Genomic DNA, 23755 nt, shown 5'->3' with positions numbered 1-23755 from the left:
GTAGGGCTCTTCCATAAGGGAAGAGTAGAAATTGTATTGAATAAAGGAGGCTTGTGGATTTTCTCTAAAATAGGTTTCCTCACAGAAGATTGAGAATTGCTCACACCTGGGAACTCTGTACCTCTAGCATCCTATCATGAGTAGGTGAGTACTGAGTAAATCAAATGTGTATGGTAGACCAACTTCCAAGATGGTGGCCAATGACTCCCGCCTCCTGGTATTTATGTTCTGTGTAATCCTTTCCCCCTGAGTGATTTGATTTTAACCAGTGGATGTTACTTTCATGATTAAGTTGTAAAATGGTGACTTCCACACAGGCAGAATCTCTTTCTTGTCTTCATCTTGCATGATTTAATGAAGCAAGCTGCCTTGTTGGAGAGGAAATGAATGTGTCTCTGGCCAACAGCCAGAGAGGAACTGACACTGTCAGCCCAATAACCTGGAGAAACTGAATCCAGCCAACAACTACGTGAGCTTGGAAGTGGATCCTTCCCTAATTGAGCCTTGAGAAACCTGTATCTTAGCCAAGACCTTGATTGTAGCATACAAGAAAACCTAAAGGACAATTAAGCCACACACAGCTCCTAACCCACAGAAACTGAGATAAGTATAGCTATTTTGGTTGCTAAGATGTGGGATAATTCATTATGCAGCAATAGACAGTTAATAGACAACAAATACTGTCTGTTATTGTACTTTGAAACCATCTGATCACTTGTCCAAAAAAAAAAAAAAGGATTGATAAACTCACTCATACTAATGCATTTGGGAACCTAGTATGCAACTCCTGTTAAAGTACAGTGCCCTCAGAGAGAAGGAAATGCTAACACAATAGAGTGCATGAATAATGGCAGAATTTTAGGATTTAGGACAACAGTGTGGAAAATGTTCTTTTTGAGAGTGGAGAAGCTTTCTGTTTTCCCTCAAAATGATAACATATGTGCAGTAGTTCCGCCTTACCTGAGGGGGATATGTTCCAAGACCCCCATTGTATGCTTGAAACCTCAGATAGTACGAAACCCAATATTTACTATGTTTTTTCCTATACATACCTATCATAAAGCTTAACTTATAAATTAGGCACAGTAAGAGATTAATAACAATAACTAATAGTAACAGAACAAGTGTAACAATGTACTGTAATAAAAGTTATGTGAATGTGGTCTCTCTTTCTTTCTCTCAGAAGTATCACTGTACTGTACTCTCCCTTCTTGTGATGATGTGAGATGATGAAAAGATTACATGGTGAGATGAAGTGAGGTGAATGATGTAGCCATTGTGACATAGTGTTAGGCTACTACTGACCTTCTGACCATATGTCAGAAGGAGGATCACCTGCCTTGGGTGATCCCGTATCATTGACCATGATTATGTCAATGGTTGGATGTCAGGAGCAGACAATGAAGATGACTAATGGTAGCACAGACAGTGTGGATCTGATGGACAAATGGATGACTCACATCCCAGGCAGGATAGAGCAGGATGTCTCAAGAGTTCATTATGTTACTTAGAACAGCATGCAGTTTAAAATTTATGAATTGTGTATTTCTGGAATTTTCCATTTAATATTTTCAGACTCCTGTTGACCCTAGGGTAACAGAAATTGTGGAAAGCGAACCACCAATAAGTGGGGACTACTGTAATTAACTCTAGCACATATGTATAAGTCAGGCTTTGTTACCTTAAGTCTATCTTAAAACCTAGTTATATTTTGATTATGTTTTAAAAGTTTGTCTGGGAAAAAGGAGACATAATCCCAAGGCATCTTTCTGGAAGAAAGAAGGGAGACCATGATGAGCTTGAAAGCAATTATTCTTGGGGATGGGGATGGGCTTGTCTTGGGAGAATCCACAGGTACGTGAAAAGTTGCTAATCACTGTAGTCTTTCTCTTGCTCTGGCAGATGCAGGAAACTTGGGTTCTTGGAGACAGGGCAAAGGCAATCTAAGCCCTTTTCTAGGATTAGCAGGAGTAGACAGATATGAGATATTGGGGGCTGTGAAGGAAGCTGCAGGAGTTAAAAATTCTAAGACAAAACGATTTGAGTTATTAATAAACTTGAAGATTTTAATACCAACAAAGAAAGGAAGAGCCAGGAAACTAGCAGAGATGGGAGGTAAATGGAAGAGACCCACATAGAGGTCTCCTCCGCTGTATGCAAAGGATCTGCTCCATGGGCTGGTTCAAAAAAAGCCAGCAAAGGTTGAAGATGACACACCAGAGTGTGCTTTCTCAAGCTCAAAGGTAGAACCTGGAAAGATGAAGCCACGACTGAAAACTGAAACATTCAGGAGAAAGATTCCCAGTTCAATTTGATTTATACGAGTTTCTAAACTGTAATTGAAGCTGAGGATCTCATTTAACTATACTTTTATTTTTAAAAATTGATGTCTAAAACAGTTTTTTATAATATATTTTCAAAATTCAAAAGGTATAAATTCTCCCTTTCACCCTTATCCTAAGCCACCCAGAGATAACTCCCCAAACAACCAAAATTAACAGTTTCTTGTGCATCATTCTAGAGATATAATAAATATATTCAAATAAATACATAAAAACATCTTTTACAATGGCTTTTAAACATTCAAACAATATCTTCCCATATACACTAGTAAGTACCTTTTAAAAAACAATATATCTTAGCAATACATCTTTGTGGAATTACATATTTTACTTAACCATTTATCTATTGATAGGTAATTACCAATCTTTTGGCTTTTACAAGCAATTCTACAATTAGTTCTCTTGTATATACATCATTTTGCATGTGTCATATATCTGTGGAATAAATTATTGGAGGTAGTATACTAAAGCAAGGGTATGTGAGTGTATTCTTTTGACATATTCTGCCAATGTATACTCTGTAGAGTTTGTACCAATTTACACTCCAATAAAAAACGTATGGGAATGCCTGTTTTTCACACTCTCACCAACATTGTACACCATTAAGCGATTTGTTCTTTACCTGACCGATAAATAAAAAATGATCTTGAGAGCACCTGGGGGAAGAGGCAACTGTGGGTGCAGCTTCAGCAGACTTAAAAGTTCCTGCCTAGTTCTAGATCCCTGAGGAATTGCCACACTGACTTCCACAATGGTTGAACTAGTTTACACTCCCACCAACAGTGTAAAAGTGTTCCTTTTTCCTCCACATCCTCTCCAGCACCTGTTGTTTCCTGACTTTTTAATGATCGCCATTCTAACTGGTGTGAGATGGTATCTCATTGTGGTTTTGATTTGCATTTCTCTGATGGCCAGTGATGATGAGCATTTTTTCATGTGTTTTTTGGCTGCATACGTGTCTTCTTTTGAGAAGTGTCTGTTCATATCCTTTGCCCACTTTTTGATGGGTTTGTTTTTTTCTTGTAAATTTGTTTGAGTTCATTGTAGATTCTGGATATTAGCCCTTTGTCAGATGAGTAGGTTGCAAAAATGTTCTCCCATTCTGTAGGTTGCCTGTTCACTCTGATGGTAGTTTCTTTTGCTGTACAGAAGCTCTTTAGTTTAATTAGATCCCATTTGTCAATTTTGGCTTTTGAAATACCATTTGACCCAGCCATCCCATTACTGGGTATATACCCAAAGGATTATAAATCATGCTGCTATAAAGACACATGCACACGTATGTTTATTGCAGCACTATTCACAATAGCAAAGACTTGGAACCAACCCAAATGTCCAACAACGATAGACTGGATTAAGAAAATGTGGCACATATACACCATGGAATACTATGCAGCCATAAAAAATGATGAGTTTATGTCCTTTGTAGGGACATGGATGAAACTGGAAACCATCATTCTCAGCAAACTATCGCAAGGACAAAAAACCAAACACTGCATGTTCTCACTCATAGGTGGGAATTGAACAATGAGAACACATGGACACAGGAAGGGGAACATCACACACTGGGGACTGTTGTGGGGTGGTTGGGGGGGGTGGATAGCATTACTAGATATACCTGTTGCTAAATGATGAGTTAATGGGTGCAGCACACCAACATGGCACATGTATACATATGTAACAAACCTGCACATTGTGCACGTGTACCCTAAAACTTAAAGTATAATAATAATAAAATTAAAAAAAAAAGTTCCTGCCTGCTGGTTCTGAAGAGAGCAGTGGATCTCCCAGCACAGTGCTCAAGCTCTGTTAAGGGACAGACTGCCTCCTCAAGTGGGTCCCTGACCCCCATGCCTCCTGACTGGGAGACACCTCCCAGCAGGGGTTGACAGACACCTCATACAGGAGAGCTCCGGCTGTCATCTGGTGGGTGCCCCTCTGGGAAGAAGCTTCCAGAGGAAGGAACAGGCAGAAATCTTTGCTGTTCTGCAGCATCTGCTAGTGATACGCAGGCAAACAGGGTCTGGAGTGGACCTCCAGCAAACTCCAGCAGAACTGCAGCTGAGGGGCCTGTTAGAGGGAAAACTAACAAACAGAAAGGAATAACATCAACATCAACAAAAAGAACAACCACACAGAAACCCCATCCGAAGGTCACCAACATCAAAGACCAAAGGTAGATAAATCCACGAAGATGAGGAAAAACCAGTGCAAAAAGGATGAAAATTCCAAAAACCGGAACACCTCTTCTCCTCCAAAAAATCACAACTCCTCGCCAGCAAGTGAACAAAACTGGAGGGAGAATGAGTTTGACGGACTGTCAGAAGTAGGCTTCAGAAGGTGGGTAATAACAAACTCCTCTGAGGTCAAGGAGCATGTTCTAACCCAATGCAAGGAAGCTAAGAACCTTGAAAAAAGGTTAGACAAATCGCTAACTGGAATAACCAGTTTGGAGAAGAACATAAATCACCTGATGAGCTGAAAAACATAGCATGAGAACTTCATGAAGCATACACAAGTATCAATAGCCAAATCCTTCAAGCAGAAGAAAGGGTATCAATGATTGAAGATTAACAATGAAATAAAGCGAGACGACAAGATTAGAGAAAAAAGAATAAAGAGGGACGAACAAAGCCTCCAAGAAATATGGGACTATGTGAAAAGGCCAAACCTACATTTGATTGGTGTATCTGAAAGTGACAGGGAAAATGGAACCAAGTTGGAAAACACTCTTCAGGATATTATCCAGGAGAACTTCCCCAACCTAGCAAGACAGGCCAACATTCAAATACAGGAAATACAGAGAATGCCACAAAGATACTCCTCTAGAAGAGCAACCCCAAGACACATAATCATCAGATTCATGAAGGTTGAAATCAAGGAAACAATGTTAAGGGCAGCCAGAGAGAAATGTCGGGTTACCCACAAAGGGAAGCCCATGAGACTAATGGTGGATCTCTCTGCAGAAACCCTACAAGCCACAAGAGAGTGGGGACCAATATTTAACATTCTTAAAGAAAAGAATTTTCAACCCAGAATTTCATGTCCAGCCAAATTAAGCTTCATAAGCAAAGGAGAAATAAAATCCTTTACAGACAAGCAAATGCTGAGAGATTTTGTCACCACCAGGCCTGCCTTCAGGCCTGTGCTCCTGAAGGAAGCACTAAATATGGAAATGGAAACTGGTACCAGTCACTGCAAAAACACATCAAATTGTAAAGACCATCGACACTATGAAGAAACTGCATCAACTAACGGTCAAAACAACCAGCTAGCATCATAATGACAAGATGAAATTCACACATAACAATATTAACCTTAAATGTAAACGGGCTAAATGCCCCAACTGAAAGACACAGACTGGCAAATTGGATAGAGTCAAGTCCCCTGGTGTGCTGTATTCAGGAGACCCATCTAACATGCAAAGACACACATAGGCTCAAAATAAAGGGATGGAGGAATATTTACCAAGCAACTGGAAAGCAAAAAAAAAAAGCAGGGGTTCCAATGCTAGTCTCTGATAAAACAGACTTTAAACCAACAAAGCTAAAAAAAGACAAAGAGGGCATTACATAATGGTAAAGGGATCAATGCAACAAGAAGAGCTAACTATCCTAAATATATATGCAGCCAATACAGGAGCATCCAGATTCATAAAGCAAGTTCTTAGAGACCTACAAAGAGACTTGGACTCCCACACAACAATAGTGGGAGACTTTAACACCCCACTGTCAATATTAGATCAACGAAACAGAAAATTAGCAAGGATATTCAGGACTTGAACTCAGCTCTGGACCAAGCGAACCTAATAGACATCTACAGAACTCTCTACCCCAAATCCACAGAATATACATTCTTCTCAGCACTACATCACAGTTATTCTAAAATTGACCACATAGGTGGAAGTAAAACACTCCTCAGCAAATGCAAAAGAACAGAAATCATAACAAACAGTCTGTCAGACCACAATGCAATCAAATTAGAACTCAGGATTAGGAAACTCACTGAAAACCTCACAATTACACGGAAACTGAACAACCTGCTCCTGAATGACTACTGGGTCAATAACAAAATTAAGACAGAAATAAATAAGTTCTTTGAAACCAATGAGAACAAAGACACAACGTACCAGAATCTCTGGGACATATTTACAGCAGTGTATACAGGAAAATTTATAGCACTAAATGCCCACAGGAGAAAGCAGGAAAGATCTAAAATCAACACCCTAATATCACAATGAAAAGAACCAGAGAAGCAAGAGCAAACAAATTCAGAAGCTAGCAGAAGACAAGAAATAACTAAGATCAGAGCAGAACTTAAGGAGCTAGAGACACGAAAAACCCTTCAAAAAAATCAATGAGTCCAGGAGCTGGTTTTTTTGAAAACATTAACAAGATAGACTGCTAGCCAGACTAATAAAGAAGAAAAGAGAGAAGAATCAAATAGATGCAATAAAAAATGATAAAGGGGATATCACCACTGATCCCACAGAAATACAAACTACCATCAGAGAATACTATACACAGCTCTATGTAAATAGACTAGAAAATCTAGAAGAAATGGATACATTCCTGGATACATACACACTGCCAAGTCTAAACGAGGAACAAGTCGAATCCCTGAACAGACCAATAACAAGTTCTGAAATTGAGGCAGTAATTAATAGCTTACCAACCAAAAAAAGTCCAGGACCAGATGGATTCACAGCCAAATTCTACCAGAGGTACAAAGAGGAGCTGGTACCATTCCTTCTGAAACTATTCCAAGCAGTAGAAAAAGAGGGAATCCTCTCTAACTCATTTTATAAGACCAGCGTCATCCTGATACCAAAACCTGGCAAAGACTCAACAAAAAAAGAAAATTTCAGGCCAATATCCCTGATGAACATCGATGAGAAAATCCTCAATAAAATACTGGCAAACTGAATCCAGCAGCACATCAAAGAGCTTATCTACCACGATCAAGTTGGCTTCATCCCTGGGATGCAAGGCTGGTTCAACATATGCAAATCAATAAACGTAATTCATCACATAATCAGAACCAATGGAAAAAAAACACATGATTATTTCGATAGATGCAGAAAAGGTCTTTGATAAAATTCAACACCCCTTCATGCTCAAAACTCTCAATAAACTAGGTATCAATGGAATGGATCTCAAAATAATACGAGCTATTTATGACAAACCCACAGCCAATATTATACTCAATGGGCAAAAACTGGAAGCATTCCCTTTGAAAACCGGCACAAGACAAGGATGCCCTCTCTCACCCTCCTATTCAACATAGTATTGAAAGTTCTGGCCAGGGCAATCAGGCAAGGGAAAGAAATAAAGGGTATTCAAATAAAGGGTATTCAAGAGAGGAAGTCAAATTGTCTGTGTTTGTAGATGACATGATTGCATATTTAGAAAACCCCATTGTCTCAACCCAAAATCTCCTTAAGCTGATAAGCAACTTCGGCAAAGTCTCAGGATACAAAATCAATGTGTAAAAATCACAAGCATTCCTATACACCAACAATAGACAAACAGAGAGCCAAATCATGAGTGAACTCCCATTCACAATTGCTACTAAGAGAATAAAATACCTAGGAATACAACTTATAAGGGATTTGAAGGACCTCTTCAAGGAGAAGTGCCACACAATTTTAAACAATGAGATCTCACAAGAGCTCACTCACTACCATGAAGACAGCATCAAGGGGTTGGTGCTAAACCATTAATGAGGAATCCACCCCTATGATCCAGTCACCTCCTACCAGGCTCCACCAACACTGGGGATTACAATTCAACATGAGATTTGGGTGGGGACACAGATCTAAACTACATCAGTCCTCTTATTATTGTAGCTTTATAATCTGTTTAATGAAACCAATAACTTAAAACATGTCTTTGAGTATTCTTATTTGTTTGCTTTTCCATTTGAACTTTAACACCACCTTGTCTAGCTTGCAAAAACCACCCTGTCAGTAATTTTACTGAGACTGCATTATATTTATTGGATACCTTCGGGAAATTTGACATCATTATGATGTGAAATCTTCCTTTCCAGGAACATGGCTTGTCTTTTTATTTTTCAATTTTTCTTTCGTGCCTCTTAGGAGCACATGAAGTGTTTTTATACAGATCATAGTCATTTCTTGTTTGTTGCTATTCTAATAAGGCCTTTTTTCCTTTATTTCTTCTAATTGATATTGTTTGTACATATAAAGGCTACTTATTTCTCTACATTAGTTTTGTACCTCTCAACATTTTTCATTTTCTCAAATAATTTTCCAGTTGCTTCTCTTGAGTTTTCCTGGTGGAGAATCATATACTTATAATAATACTTTTTCCTCTTCTTTTCCAATTTTTAGTATTTAAGCCTTTTCTTTCGTCTATGTTCACCAGTCCCTCCCAAACAATATTAAGGTGTATTAGGTATAATGGTGGTCAAACAAGCTATTCCTGACATTTGGGAATGGAAATGTCCTTGGCTTTCCCATTAAAGATGACACTGGCCTTTGGGCTAACAGTGATAAAACATAATAAGGATAACATATGTCTAACCCATTGTGTTAATCACTTTTAAAAATCAAGAATGGATGTTGAAATTTATTCCATGCTTTTTTCAATGTCTATGTAGATAAAGGAATTTTTTTCTCCTTAGACTTATTAATGTGGTAAATTATATTAATAATGTTAATATTTGTGGCAAGCTGAATAATGTCTCCTAAAGATATCCACATCCTAATTCTTGGAACCTGTGAATGTTACTTCATGTGAAACTTTGCATATGTGATTAAGTTCAGAATATAAAGATAGGTGGATTATTTTGGATAATTTACCAGGCCCTAGATGGGCGCTAGATGTAATTATGTGTCCTTATAAAAGAGAGGCAGAGAAAGATGAAGAAGAAAAAAGGAAAGAAGGAGAAGGAAGAGGAGGAGGAGAAGGAGGAATAAGAAGAAGGAAGAGGACCCACTATACCACAGTGGCTCATACCATAGTGTAGAGAAGGAGAAGGAGGCAATATGACAACTTAAGCAAGATACTATGATCCTGGCTTTGAAGATGAAGGAAGGGGCTGTGAACCAAGGAATGCAGTTTTAGAGGCTGAAAAAGCAAGAGCCTCCAGAGGGTGCAGCCCTGCTAACACATTGATTTTGGCCCAGTGAAACATATTCCAGGCTTCAGGTCTCCCAAACTATAAAAGAAAAAAAATATGTGTTGTTTTAAGCCACCATATTTGTGCTAGTTTCTGACAGCAGCCATAGAAAATGAATACAATGTATATAATTCAATTATTTAGCCTAGAATAAACCCTATTTGTTTATGATGTTTTTCTTCTTTTAATGTGCAGCTGGATTTTGCATTGAAATTTGAAAATTTTATCCTGTGTTATTTAAGTAAATTAGTCATGTTTATTAAACACTTAGGTCCTTATGAGAGACAACATTATTTTGTAGTTGTGAGTATAGTTTTTGGAACTGGAAAGTCTATCCTACCACATACTGATTGTGTCTTTTAGTCTCTAAAGATTAAAAATCATTTAATCTCCCCATGCCTCAGCTTTCTAATCTGTAAAATGGAAATGATAATAGAGCTTTTCCTACAGGGTTGCTTGTGAATTAAGAGAGAAAATACATGTAAAGAGTTCAGAGCAGTGCCTGGTGTATAATAAATGCTGTAGAAGTATTTGTTGTCACTACCATTATGCTGTTATTTTAACATAATGCTCAGATATCACTATAGTTCTGGTGGCAGAACATGTACCTCTTAGGAAACTGACACTCTCATGAATATCAGTTACACAGTATGTCCTACAGGGTCTTCCCTTTGTCTAGTCCCATAGAAGGGGAGATATGACTTGGGCTCTTTTCCTGTTGCTGTTGGACTCTTGATATTGATTGTTTCACTTATCTATTGCTGTGAAACAAAGCAACCAAAACTTAATGGCATAAAACCATCCTGCATCTGCCTGGGTTGGTACCCTCGGGAACTTGGCCAGCCAGTGGCCAAGCCAGAGTGAGGGGTCAAGTCTCTAGACTCCTATTCCTGCATCCTTTTCTCAATATGAAATGCCTTCTCCTTTGTAAAGAAACCAGCAAGATGATGCTTCTTCAAAGGACATACACCAGGAACTTGTCTTCACACTGTCTCATTTTCTTATTCAAATAAATCAAGAAAAACCAACGATTTATTATTTCTCCCAATTCTGTGGGTTAATTGGGCTTGGGTAGTGTTTCTGCTGGTGCAGGGTGATGTCACTCAGGCAGCTCTATTCTGCTGGGAGCCTGGCTGAGGGCAAACATGCAAAATGGCCTCTCATCCTCCAGGTTCTCTCCATGTGGCCCCTCATTCTTTAGCAGTACAGCCTGAGCTTTTGTGTAGTGTGGTAACTTGCTTCCAAGACAGCAAAAACGGGAGCTACCAGGTTTCGTAAGGACAAAGCCTAGGTCTGAAACAGCATCATCTCTAACACATTCTATTATTGGTCAGAGCAAGTCACAAGGCCAGTTCAGATTCAAGGAGAGGGGAAAGAGACTTCATCTCTTGACTGGAAGTACTCACAGAGATGGGAGTAATTATTGATGGCAGTATTGGAAACCACGGTGGCTCAGTCTGTAGTGTCTTGCTTATAGGGTCCTTTTGAGGGATACCAATTGTCTTAGTTCATTCCTGCTGCTATAACAAAACACCTTAGAGTGGGTAATTTATAAACACCAGAAATTTATTTCTTACAAGTCTGGAGGCTGGAAGTCCAAGATCAAGGTGCCAGTAGATTTGGTGTCTGGTGAGGGTCTATTTTACACAGATAATGTCTTCTATGTGTCTTCACATTGCGGAAGGGCAAAAAGGGACAAACAAGCTCTCTGAAGCTCTTTTATAAGGGCACTGTGTTAGGCTGTTCTTTTACTGCTATAAAGAAGTATGCGAGCCTGGGTAATTTATAAAGAAAAGAGGTTTAATTGGCTCATGATGCTGCAGGCCGTACAGGAAGCTAGGCATCAGCATCTGCTTCTGGTTCTCAGGAAACTTACAATCTGCTTCCTGCTTCTCAGGAAACTTAAAATCATGGTGGAAGGAAAATGGGAGCCAGTGTATCACATGGGGAGAGCAGGAGAAAGCGGGGGTGGGGGAGCGGGGGAGGTGCCACACAGTTTTAAACAACCAGACCTCATGTGAACTCACTCATCACCAAGAAGATGGCACTAAGCCATTCATGAAGGATCTGCCCCTGTGACCCAAACACCTCTGGCCAGGCCCCACCTCCAACACTGAGGATTACATTTCAGCATGAGATTTGGAGGGGACAAATATTCAAACCATATCACGCACTAATCCCATTCATGAGAGAAGAGCCCTCCAGACCTAATCACTTCCTAAAGGCCTACCTTTTACTACCATTGCATTGGGGATTAAGTTTCCACATAGGAATTTTAGGGACATACACATTCAGGCCACAGCACCAATAAAATGGCCCAAGCCCAGGCACCTTCCACAGTGTCTACACTGTGCGGGGGAAACACATGTATCCTTGCCATCATGGGTCATGAGAGTGCTGCCATTCATCCTCTGGCCTTTTCATTTTCTACCCTAGCAGCTTAGAGTGTTCTGCAGCCCCACAGGTTTCAGGTGGAGATGAACAGTCCTAATGTAGAGCGGGTCAAGCCCAGGCTCTCAGATGGTCTGAGTAATTTTCTTTCTGTTTTTCTTCTTCCCTTGGCTTTGAGGAGGGGCATCACCCACTTCTCACCCCTCCCTGCCAGAGGATGACTCCAGGCAATCACCAACCAAGACAGACTAAAGATTGGGGAAGTATTACCCACTAGGTAGCTTTCCACTTATTTCCTGTCTTTCTTCTGTCCACCCTGAGTTCCTTAACATACTCAAGCAGAATTCTAAAATGTGAGAGCTGGATTCACGTAGAGATAGTTTAGTTTGGTGGTTTCCAACTTTCCTTGCAGACCATGGGAGACTGTACTGCCCTCGTATCCCAGTGTAGGGAATCATGCTGGCCAGAACTCTGCATGGTTGCGTGAAGGAATGTGAAGATGAGTTTGGGGTGTGATAACCTCGAGAGGCACATGTGAGGTCAAGCAGAGGGTAACAAAACCACCTTCTGGGAGGATGGAACCAGGAAACTGTACAATCTTGATATGATCACTAGAGTATGTGCATTTTTCTCCTACCTTTTCCCATACCTAGTGCTCATTCTTTTGGACAATAATTTAAAGGGTCTAGGTTTGAAGGGGCATCACCTTTTTTCACCTGTCCACAGCACTTACATGAATCTGTCTGGCTTGGACCCGTTGGAACTTGGCCAGCCAGTGGCCAAGCCAGAATGAGGGGTCAAGTCTCTAGACTCCTATTACTGAATCCTTTTCTCACTATGAGATGCCTCCTCCTTTGTAAAGAAACCAGCAAGATGGTGCTTATTCAAAGACATATACCAGGAACTTGTCTTCACACTGTCTCATTTTCTTTATTCAAATAAATCAAGAATATAGTTTCTCTTTCTTCCAGCCATTATGAGACTTGCTGATCTAGTGTGTATGACCCTTTGGATAAAGGCATAATGTAAAAGAAAATTGTATTAATAAGATATTACTAATATTAATCAATATGAAATGCAATAGTGTGCCAGGGTGAGAAAGTCAGGAAAGAACACTGTAAACTCCTCTGGGATCTGCAAGACCAGACACTTCCAAATGCTTCTTACTAAATACTCAGCCTAGAAACGGTCCCCCAAAGTGCAGTAAAACATGCAACTCTAATGTTTGTGTTAGCTTGAAATTATGGCTTGGAAAATTCTAGCACCCTCTTCAATCATGAAAACAGTGAGAGATGTTAAATTTCATGTAATTATACAGTCAGAATATAAGCTATATCACATTCTGTGCTCTATGTGTAGCTGCTTAAAAAGGTCAGAGTTCTTATACTCCTAGTGTATAGACCATATTCTAATTGAACTTCCTAATGTGTCTGACAGATGGGAAATAGCTCACTCTGACCCTGAATATCCAGTCTTTGGCTCACATAACCTAATAACATGGGATTATTACTTTTGTATTTTATACAGATCTGTAATAAAGACCCCAGTTCCAAGGATAGCGATCATAAAACTTTGTTGTTATATTTTTTCCATTTGGCTGTAAGGAACTCATATTTGTGGACATTATCTCATTAAACCAAGAGAACATAGTTCTATTATTTTCATTTTGCAAAGTGAGGCACTGAGTTACACAAAAGTTGAGCAACTCTTCTCAGTTCACATAAGCCATGGATAAAACTGGGAGTCAAGCCAATCCTGCTGATTTGTTGGCCTTTCCAATCTTTCAAAAAGTATAAAACCCTTTCAAAGTTTAATTCTGCCCCTACAGAGCCCCAGAGCCACATACCTTCTCTAAGTGTCATTTTTCTTGTCTATTAGTTGGTATTCATCAGAAACAGCCAGCACCAACTTGTGCCATGGGGATAAAATTTATTTTCTGGGTTGGGGTGGGGGGAACCAATAAACTAACTGAACTGAAATAAAAATTGAAACCCAAAGCAAAGCCAAACGAAGCTAAACAAACCACCACATGGTCATTGAGCCACATATCAACATTAGGTTTAAAAATATAGCTCTGAAGACCTAAAGCACAGCCTCATGAGAATATCCAGTCCCATACACCATAACCACTTACTGTAAGAAGACACGTCATATCCCATCCTGAACACTTGTTAAAAATCTCAAGAAAAGGGGATGTAACCATGCTCTTTGTTGCTCTGCCTACTCTTTGATTTCTACTCCTTTTTCTCCTCCTGTGATCACTCCCCTTTGTCTCCTTCATGTTCATTTTTTTCCTTCACCAATCCTTTATATTCTGCTAGTCCTCGGGGTTATGTCCTGGTTCCTCTTCTCATTTCCAGTGACGCTGTCTCCCTGGGTGACTTTATCCACTCCCCTGCTTTGATTACCTTAAAAGTGTTGACAATGCCAAAATGTCAGTATCACCAGCCCAAGCCTCTTGCCTTCACATCTTCATGTGGCTGTACGTTTGGTCCCTCAAATTTGACATGTCTCAAACTGAACACATCATTTTCTTCATCCTCACCTGCTCTGCCCACCCTCCACTCCCACTCTGGACTTCTGTTACCTATCAAAGTAAAAGGCATCACCACCCACTTAGCCCAATACTGGGGCCAACCTTTACCCTTTCCTGTCCATCACTTGTCACATTGCAAAGTCCTGCCATTTTTATCTCCTACATCTCTCTCACATCTGGGTGCCTTGATTCATCTCCACTGAAACCACCCTAGTCTAAGCTACTGGTTTTGCACTTTGCTTGCTCCAGCTGTCCTTATAACCCTGTGTACATCCACTGCCTATCACCCAAGGGTGCCAAACCACCAGATAGAAGACAGTGAACATCCAGGAGATGAGTTCTGGTCTTGGCTCTGCCACTTACTGGCTGTGAGCTTAGACAGGGCACACGACCTCCCACAGATGCACTCGCCTCCCTTGTTGCTATAGGAATAAATAACAATTTGCCTTCTAGAAGTTGGGTGCTCAGACAGCTGGAAGGTCCTCGCAGTTTTAAGATCTGTGATTCTGTGCGAGACCTCAAATATACTGACACAATGAAATAACAACCAGCCACACATTGATCAAATCCAAGCAGTATACAAAACCAGGGATGGTAACATTTTGAGATTGACATTTTTCATGCATTTGGGACACTAAGCACCTTTCAACATTCTGTGTTTTGGAGTTTCCCATCTTATGATTTCTATAATTCAAAACAGATGGAGGACAAACTCAATTTCTTGGCCTCCAGTGAAACTAGGGCATACTCACGGTAAGTCAAATCTGACAAGAAAAGCACCTTGTCTGGCATTTACATTTGCAAGAAGATAACGTGAAGAAATAAAAGGCCATTCTGGCCAGGGGGGCATCATCTTTTAGAAGCAGCATTGGCAACAGCCTAGCGTGAGAAGTGCCACAGCCCTGCTCAGTATTCGTGTAGGGAGCCTGGGCCAGCAGCAGCCACTGCAGCGGAAGGTCCTTACTGGAGTGGTCTGATGGTTTAATTTGGGCATTATTTATGGCTTCATAGCCTTCAGCCTGGTTCTCTGACCTTCCTGCATATTGTGTAGGCTACTTAATATTCTTTAATAAATTTTATCTTTGTTTAAACAAACTGTGGTGCCTGTTGTTTGCAGCCACAAATGATGTGCAGTTCCTCATCCCTCGAGTCTCGGTAGGAACCGCATTTTCTTTGAGCAGTCTTCTTTGACCTAGAGATGACGTTACATCTCATTGCTGTACGCTCTTAGGATAGACAGTACTTCTCCTCTTCTAGCATGTGTCACATGTGTTTAAGTGTTTTAGATGACTCGATTACCTCCCTTGCTGCACTGTAAGTTCTCTGAGTGCTGGGGTGTCTGTCTCTGTCTTGTTCTTTCCTTTCCCTCTTGCATCTGGCATATTGTATAGCACATGGTCATCACTCAATAAATGTTGCCTTGAATCAAATTGTTGACAACTAAATGGCTCATTCCATAGGGAAACACCAGTTTTCTTCTTAATTTGTTTCTCATTAGGGACAAGAAATAGCTATAGTTTTCAATTTTTTGCTTAAGAATAAGATTAAAATGTAATCTGGACCAACATGGAGATTATTAGAATTTTTGTTAGGCCTGATTCTATTATTAAGCCTTCTTGGGTTCTTAAAGTTGCTTGATTTCTTTGAAATGCCCACTTTTAAAGACAGAGATAGGGCTTTTGGTTAAAGATGATAGATTAGCTACATGTACTCCACTTGCCCCTCTCAAGGCAATAAAAAGTATATAAACACACAAGGGCAAAGAAAAAGGGAACATGAGCCCCCAGCACACAGAGGAGGGGGCCAAATATGGTAGGGCAAGGGAAGCCAGAGTCTGAAGCATGTTTTGGATCACAAGGGAGTCACAGGCCAGAGATATTCATTCTCCCTCCTGACAGTGTGGTCATATTAGGCACAGTAGAGAGGGGAGTGTGAGGTGTAGGCAGTGGTGTGCTGGTAACTATTTAATTTTTTTTTGAGACAAAGTCTTGCTCTGTCACCCAGGCTGGAGTGCAATGGCGAGATCTTGGCTCACTACAACCTTCGCCTACCTGGTTCAAGTGATTCTCCTGCCCCAGCCTCCCGAGTAGCTGAGATTACAGGCACACACCACCATGCCTGGCTAATTTTTGTATTTTGAGTAGAGATGGGGTTTCACCATGTTGACCAGGCTGGTCTCGAACTCCTGACCTCAGGTGAATCACCTTCCTTGGCCTTTCAAAGTGTACTGGGATTACAGGTGTGAGCCACTGTGCCTAGCCACTGGTAAATGTTTTATAACCAGCTTGGAGGAGGGAAGGAAGGAAGGAAGGAAAGACGGAAGGAAGGAAGGAAGGAAGGAAGGAAGGAAGGAAGGAAAGAAGGAAAGGAGGGAGGGAGGCTTTATGAATGGTATTTACTGATTTCCGTGGTGGTAGCACAACCACCGTGTCCTGTTTTGAGCTACCAACGTGGTATCACTGAATGAGGGACTGGGAAGAAATGTGCAGGATTGGTTCACGTGGGCTGGCGAGCACTGGCTTCAGCACATCATCAGGTATAGGGCCAAAAATAGGGAGATAGGTTCAAATTTAGTTTATAGAGGGTCAGTCCTCACAATCTCTTCCCCAGTTCATGCAAAGAATACCACAGTGAGGTGTTTATCATCAATCCCCACCGCACACATACAAGACTAGGAAAATACAGTGGTCTCAGAGAGGGAACCCCAAACCTCTAGGAATGAATGAAGATCACTGAAAGGAACTATTTAGGATATTCATAAAGGCTTTTTTTTTTAAAAGAACTTTGTGTGTCTGTGTGTGTTTGCATAAAATTGTAAATTGCTTTAAAAGACTTTTGATTGCTTAAAGCAAAAATAAGTAATATGCTTTGTGGAGGGCCATACTGTTGTTAAGTTCTACACTGTTCACGAAGCAGGACAATACTGTTTGAAGGTAGACTTTAATGACTTAACGATACATACTGTAATTTCTGGATCATCCACTATAAAATTAGGAAAAGCTCTATAAAAGAAGTCAATAGAAAAAATATAATGGATACTAAAACATAATCAATTCACCTAGAAGAAGTCAGCAAAGAAAAAATAGAGAAGCAAAGAATAAATGGGATAAATAGAAAACAAATACCAAGAGGAAATACTTTAACTCAAACATTTAAAAAATTAAATCAAATGTAAATGAATTAAATGTTCCAATTAAAGTTTTAAAAAAATGAAAAATCCAATGGCTACTTGTAGTTGTTACATTTCAAGTACTTGATAGCTACACATGGTTAGTGGCTATCACACCAGACAGTACAGATACAGAAATTTCCATCATCTCAGAAAATTTGACTGGAAAGCACCCGTCTAAAGAGCAACTAACTCAAAATAAACAGGGATGACAGAGCACTCCAGGATTAGAATTCCATAATGAGAATGTAAATGCCTGGTAGTGCAGTGAACAAATAGGGCAATTAGAATTTTCAGGAAGAACAAAAAGATGATCAAGAAAGTAAATACGGTCATAGCATACTTGACTCTGTAGTGAAAAATATATACATAGGCAAAATTCCGGCAACACTAATGCTTGATTTATTCTAAATTGGTAGATAATTATTTTGGGAAAGTGGGAGAGAGGCAAGGTGGTGACCGGAGAGAGAGCGTGTATGCTAAACCTCCTCTACTGTAACGGGAGATGAAAAATAACAACTAACCTTTATAAAAGTGGTAAATATACATTTTGGAAATATAGAGGTTCCTGACATAGGATGAAATTGAAGGAGTTTTCTCTGGGGGATGGATGGAAAGTAAGATAGGGTAGGGCAGAGGACTGCTGTTTTTCATAAACCTTTTGGAGGTATTTGATTTTTAAAAACACATACATACATATAATCAGCTGGGTAAAAGAAAATAATTGTACAAAGAATCCAGACAGAAGCCAATTGTTATCTATTCCTTTAATATTTGGTCATGACATTCAAGTAACTAATGGGACCATTGATAATTTGTGGAGCTTCTGTGTTATAATGAAATCTGTTTAATGTACTATAAAACATTATAAATAAATATAGCAAAAATATAAATATATGAAATATATTGTAAAGAATGAAGAGACACCTTCTGAAGGTACAAGGAAGGATTTACCTGTAGACAATGCACACAGAGTTTTATGTGTATTGGGAGAAAAGAAAGCAGAAAAACATAGTATGTGGCCCAGGAAACTAAGGCAGGAAACTTAGCAAATGGCAGAACACATGTTTTGTTCAGATTTCACATCTTCCCACCATACCATGGCTAGATCCTAAAGGCACAGTCCAGAAAAAAACAGATTTGCCCTCTAGAGAGAATGAACCAAGAGTCCAGGGGATCTCAACTCCAGGCACTGTGCAGCAAGAGAAACGGTCTATCCCTTTTTACATGTGGGATTGCTGAGAAAAACAAACAAACACACAAACAAAAACAATAACACTGGTTAAGAGTCAGACAGACATAGCTGAAATGGCATTTCTGCTACTTAAGGGCTGTGTGACTGGGGGCAAGTACTTCCTACAGTGATGCCCCATCTCTTTGTTGAAGGTACACTTACAAATATTGGAATCTGGGGCAATGAACTGAAGAGATGAAAGACTCAAAATGAAATGGAAAAAGTTGGTAATATTTAAAATGCAGTAGTTGCTAATGTGTAACAGTATTTCCCAAAGTCTGTAAGATACCCAGAGGTGTTTCTTTTTTTTTTTGGCACCCAGAATTTTGTGGCCTTAATTTGAAAGTTTTCTCCTGAGCAGAATGTTACTCTTTGAGTAGAAGCGCCCTAATGATTATATATACCTCTCCATTCACGGAGCCATGCTTTTACATCTTCCAGGACATCACCTTCCTTTTGGTGCTGACTTGCCTTCCCTCATACCTAGTCTAATGTGCAGCAAAATTGTTCCCAGTTCTACATCTTGCATCACAACCCACTCAGCAAAATGCCCCATCAGGTAGTTAGCTGCCTGAATGTCTGCTCAGATAGTGAGTTGCAGCAAAAGGCAATTTTATACCCAGATTAAGACTTGGCAGAGCACCAGGGAAGATTTAAAGCTTACAGATATGACACAGCACACTGGTTGGGAACCACTGGCTTACCTTCTCTGGCAAATGTCATCCCTGACCCTGGAACAGAGCGCATACCGAATGGTTCTCCACTGTGCTGTTCTCTCTCACAACTCCCTGTGGGGAAAGGATTAAGACCCCTGTTTTACTGAAGAGGAAACTCCTGTTTAGAAAGGTTAAGCCAATTGTTCCAGTTGATGGGAGCAGGACAAAGAAGATTACTTCCATTCTCACATCCCTGCTCCTGCCTGCTTCCCTGTGTATACTCCTGTTATCCACCTCCTTTGGTCATCCAGAAATGTCGGAGACAGTCTGGCTTCATAGGAGGGAGGGAGAGCCGCCTCATCGTTACAGTGATCTGAAGCTGACTTCCCCAATAGCTGGGTAATGGGAAACACTCATTACAGAGCAAAAATGTGACAAAAATACATTGGAGATTGCAAAAAGTGAGACCATTGTCAATAGTCATGAGTGACTAAGCAATGCAAGTGCAGACTTCAAGTGGTAAGTCACTGGCATCTTAAAAGCTATCTTTTTAAAAAATTGTGGTTGTATTTATTAAGATACCTGAAAGCCTTTGGGAATTAGAGCTTATACTTCCTTTCTTGCCTAATGACACTACCATCCACTCTGCGATCTAAATCGTGAATCTGGGAATCACTGCAGCCTCTCCTCTCTTCTTCCATTACTATCTTTCTTCATCACCCTTATTTAATTCTTCACCCAGTCCTGTTAACCTGAATTCCCAAGTATCTTGCAGATCTTTCCATCCTACTGTAGTTGTGAGTGTGGGCTTTTAGGTCAGACTGCCTGGGTTGAAACCTGGCTCTGCCTCTTGGTGTCTGAGTCTTTCTCCAGTGGTGTGCTGGAGTGCTCCTGTTGCCCAACCTGCATCAGCAGTGACTGTGGTCATCTTTAAACCATGCCCAAATAAATGTGTTCTACCAATACACCACAAAGTGTATTGCTAGGCTCTTGCTTTAGTTTTCAGGTTTTCTTTTCTAGTACGATTAAATATTTTCTTCTTGTTTAGGCATGCTATTTATTTCTCCCTCTCTGTTCATGTCTCTTTCAAAACTTGGAGGATTAGTGCTTTTTATATTTTATTTAATAATATCTTATATTTCAAGTTCTTTTTAGAAGCAATTTATTTAGTACTTCTTTTTATATGTCAAGTTATTTTAAGAAGCAATAAAATGTGAGTGAAAATTGTGAAATAACACTGCCAAACCATTAAATGTCACCCCTGGGTGGAGTTTCTCTAGAAATTATCTGCATAAGGTGAGTAAACCTTGTCTTTAGGATGTTAATGCTTAATCATATTAGCGTGAATGTGAATTATTATTGTTTTAAAATAACACTGAAAATGACCAAAAGGCAGGTACTTACAAAGGAAAGTAGAAAAATTTTTTAGTTGGCTTCATTCCTCCTGTCTTTTTTGTTCCATTCAGATCCTGTTATTTCCCAGAGAGTGCCAGTCTGTGCAATGTTTCTTTTACATTTCCTTAATTGTTAGCAGTAGAATAAAACTGATACTTCATTATTATTATCACTCAAAATATATCGCCTACTATATGAAAGCGCTGTGTATCTACTTTTATGTTGGTGGGGAAGGGAAATTTCTTGGGACTTTATAATATTTTAAAATTATATTAGAAAATCATTAAGGAATATATTTTGGTTTATTGTGGAATTGTTTTTTAACCATTTGTAGTCTCTCCCACCTGTTTTAAATACAAAGTTATAAAAGTTGCACTCCCTTCCCTTTTCAAGCCCATTTCTTTAGGGTAAATAAAAATTAGAGTAAATTGAACATCAGCCACCTGGAAATACTCCTGATTCTTAGCTCTGACTTTCCCCCTGTTGCTTATCAGTTGCTTGTCAGGCTGGTAGACCTTTGCTGTTCGAATGTGGGTCCGTGTATTTCGCTCAATAGCCTGTCTGTCCTCTAAGGTTAAAGCTAATCTGCATCACTTTCCATTTTCAGCCACCAACTATATCTGTAGCTGCAGTGACATTTTTACACAAGGAAAGATGTATGCTGCCCATCTGTCATGTAAGGACATAATGTAGCTAAACCATCTACCCTGTCTCTTACTACATGGTGAGTGATGAGAACACAAAACGCTGGATTCAGTTTCTCCTTGGAGAATAAGTAGCAAGAGATACTAATTTGTATGTTACGCTGCCAAGAAAATGAACATCAGGTGGGCCATGATCAATGGATTGCAGAAGCACTTCCACAAGGGGATGTGGTTCTGGGCTTTTGCAATGCCTTTAGCCTCTTTTTTGAAAGTGTAAGCACACAAATGTGTCATTTTTTATGCCTGGCTCAGTGGATCAAAAGAGACTTTCCTAGGACACTGGGCAGCATGGTGGATGTGCAGCCAGGAGGTCTGGACAAGGACACTAGTCAGGACGGCCTAGGAACCAAAGGCAAATCTCTTCACTTTATCAACCTTGGTTTAATCGTCTCCCAAAAGGCAGAACTGGGATTAATCGCCATTTCTAACATTCTATTGCTATGTCGTTTACTTAGGCTTCCTGAACACCAAAATGACAGAGACCATGGACCTGTTATAGGCTAGAATATGGCTGTTGGGTGGGCTTTCAGCTGCACAGAAAGGTGTAGGCATGACTGTGCTAGGCACGGGGAAGGAAGACTGTCAGGATGTGTTAATGGGGATGGAGTGGGTTGGGAATAAGAGCCTTTAGACGCCAGAGGCAAGATTGACCAACTTCCCAGCTTGGTCCAAGACTCCTTTGGGCCCAAGAGGCTGCGTGTGAGGACTGAGCGTCCTTCCAATGTGGACACTTTTCAGAGTTGTGTCCTGATTCTCTTCTTTTCTCACCCTGCAGCCACCCTCCCTGGGCTGTTTCATCCATTGGTGTGATCTCGGCTCACTGCAACCTCCACCTCCCAGGTTCAAGCGATTCTCCTGCCTCAGCCTCCCGAGTAGTTGGGATTACAGGTGCCCACCGCCACCCCCAGCTATTTCTTTTTTGTATTTTTAGTAGAGACGGGTTTCACCATGTTGGCCATGCTGGTCTTGAACTCCTGATGTCAAGTGATCCATCTGCTTCAGCCTCCCAAAATGCTGGGATTACAGGCGTGTGCCACTGCACCCCACCCACATGCTTTTTATATGCTGTATCTACGGGCATACTTTGCTCTGAAGCAACAACCTGTGTATCTGGGGATCTCCAATTCGATGGCCTTAGTCCCTCTCATGAGCTTAACTTCGTCTCCTCTGCCCATCCCCTGCTGTTGCTCCTTCTCCTACCGTCATCATCTCAACAGATAACCCCTTAGTATTACTCACGTAAAAACTAAGGTGTCCTACTTGACTTCTCCCTCTCTCACCCCTGACAACCAATCAAACCCTCCTTCATCCTCTTCACTTACAACTCTTCATTGGCACCCGCTGCTGTCAAGGTAAAGTCAAAGTCCATAGCAGGACAGGGCTCCCCAACCTTCCAGCTCCATTTTTGCTTCTCCTCCCTGGCGAGTGTCTTCCAGTTCTATAGTCTCACCATGTCATCTTTGCTTCTGGGTTTTGTGTATGCTCTTGTCTCTGTTTGACATGCCTCCCTAACCGTCCTCTCCATAACCTAATTTTCATAGATAACTCCAGTTTCCTCTTTTCCTCTTTAGTCTTGGTCTAGATCAGTGTTTCTCAACTGGGGCTGATGTCATCCCTCAGAGGACATTTGGCCGTGTCCAGAGACATTTTGTGTGGTCACAGCTGAGTGAGGGTGGGGTGGTTGCTACTGGCATGTAGTCGGTAGAGGCCAGGGATGTTGCTAAACATCTTATAATGCCCCTCACATCAAAGACTCCTACCACAAAGAATTATCTTTCCCTGAGTAGCAATGGGGTTGAGATTGAGAAACCTTGGTCTAGATTTCACTTTCTCTGGGAAGCCTTTCCTGGCTTTCCCATGCCCCTCCTCCATGGTCTCATGTCCCTCTTCTTAGACTTTTCATCACTCTTCTCCTGTTGCACTATTTTCTGTTCACTTGTCTGTCTCCTCTTCTAGAACGTGGGCTTCTGGAAGTCAGGCACTGTTTCTTGTTTCCCTTTTAATTCCCAGTTCCTAGCGTAGTTCCTGGTAATAGTGGGCATGCAATAACTATTTGTAAATGAGTAAAAAAATGAATACACACAAATCACTCTATAAGCAGTGTCTCCCATACCACATTTTTTCCCCCTAGAAAGCATATCATTTGCAATAATACCCCACTCTAATCTCTGTCCCTGCAGCA

The 23755-nt window shown here is 40.5% G+C and overlaps 1 long non-coding RNA gene across 1 annotated transcript in view, besides 1 other annotated feature; it reads left to right on the top strand.

The window, feature by feature from the left end:
• Nucleotides 1-23755, top strand: part of LOC124900610 (uncharacterized) — a 170779-nt gene that overhangs the window by 106682 nt on the left and 40342 nt on the right. The window lies entirely within an intron of this gene.
• Nucleotides 19424-19952: an enhancer, noted in NCBI's record as "OCT4-NANOG hESC enhancer chr5:61306801-61307329 (GRCh37/hg19 assembly coordinates)". NCBI's record gives its function as "activates a minimal SCP1, AML or CMV promoter by ChIP-STARR-seq in naive H9 embryonic stem cells {active_cell/tissue: H9 hESC(naive)}" and the evidence as "EXISTENCE:reporter gene assay evidence [ECO:0000049][PMID:30033119]".

Source organism: Homo sapiens, chromosome 5 (assembly GCF_000001405.40).
Source record: "Homo sapiens chromosome 5, GRCh38.p14 Primary Assembly".
Taxonomy (NCBI): Eukaryota; Metazoa; Chordata; class Mammalia; order Primates; family Hominidae; genus Homo; species Homo sapiens.
This window is presented reverse-complemented; position numbering and strand designations above follow the sequence as displayed.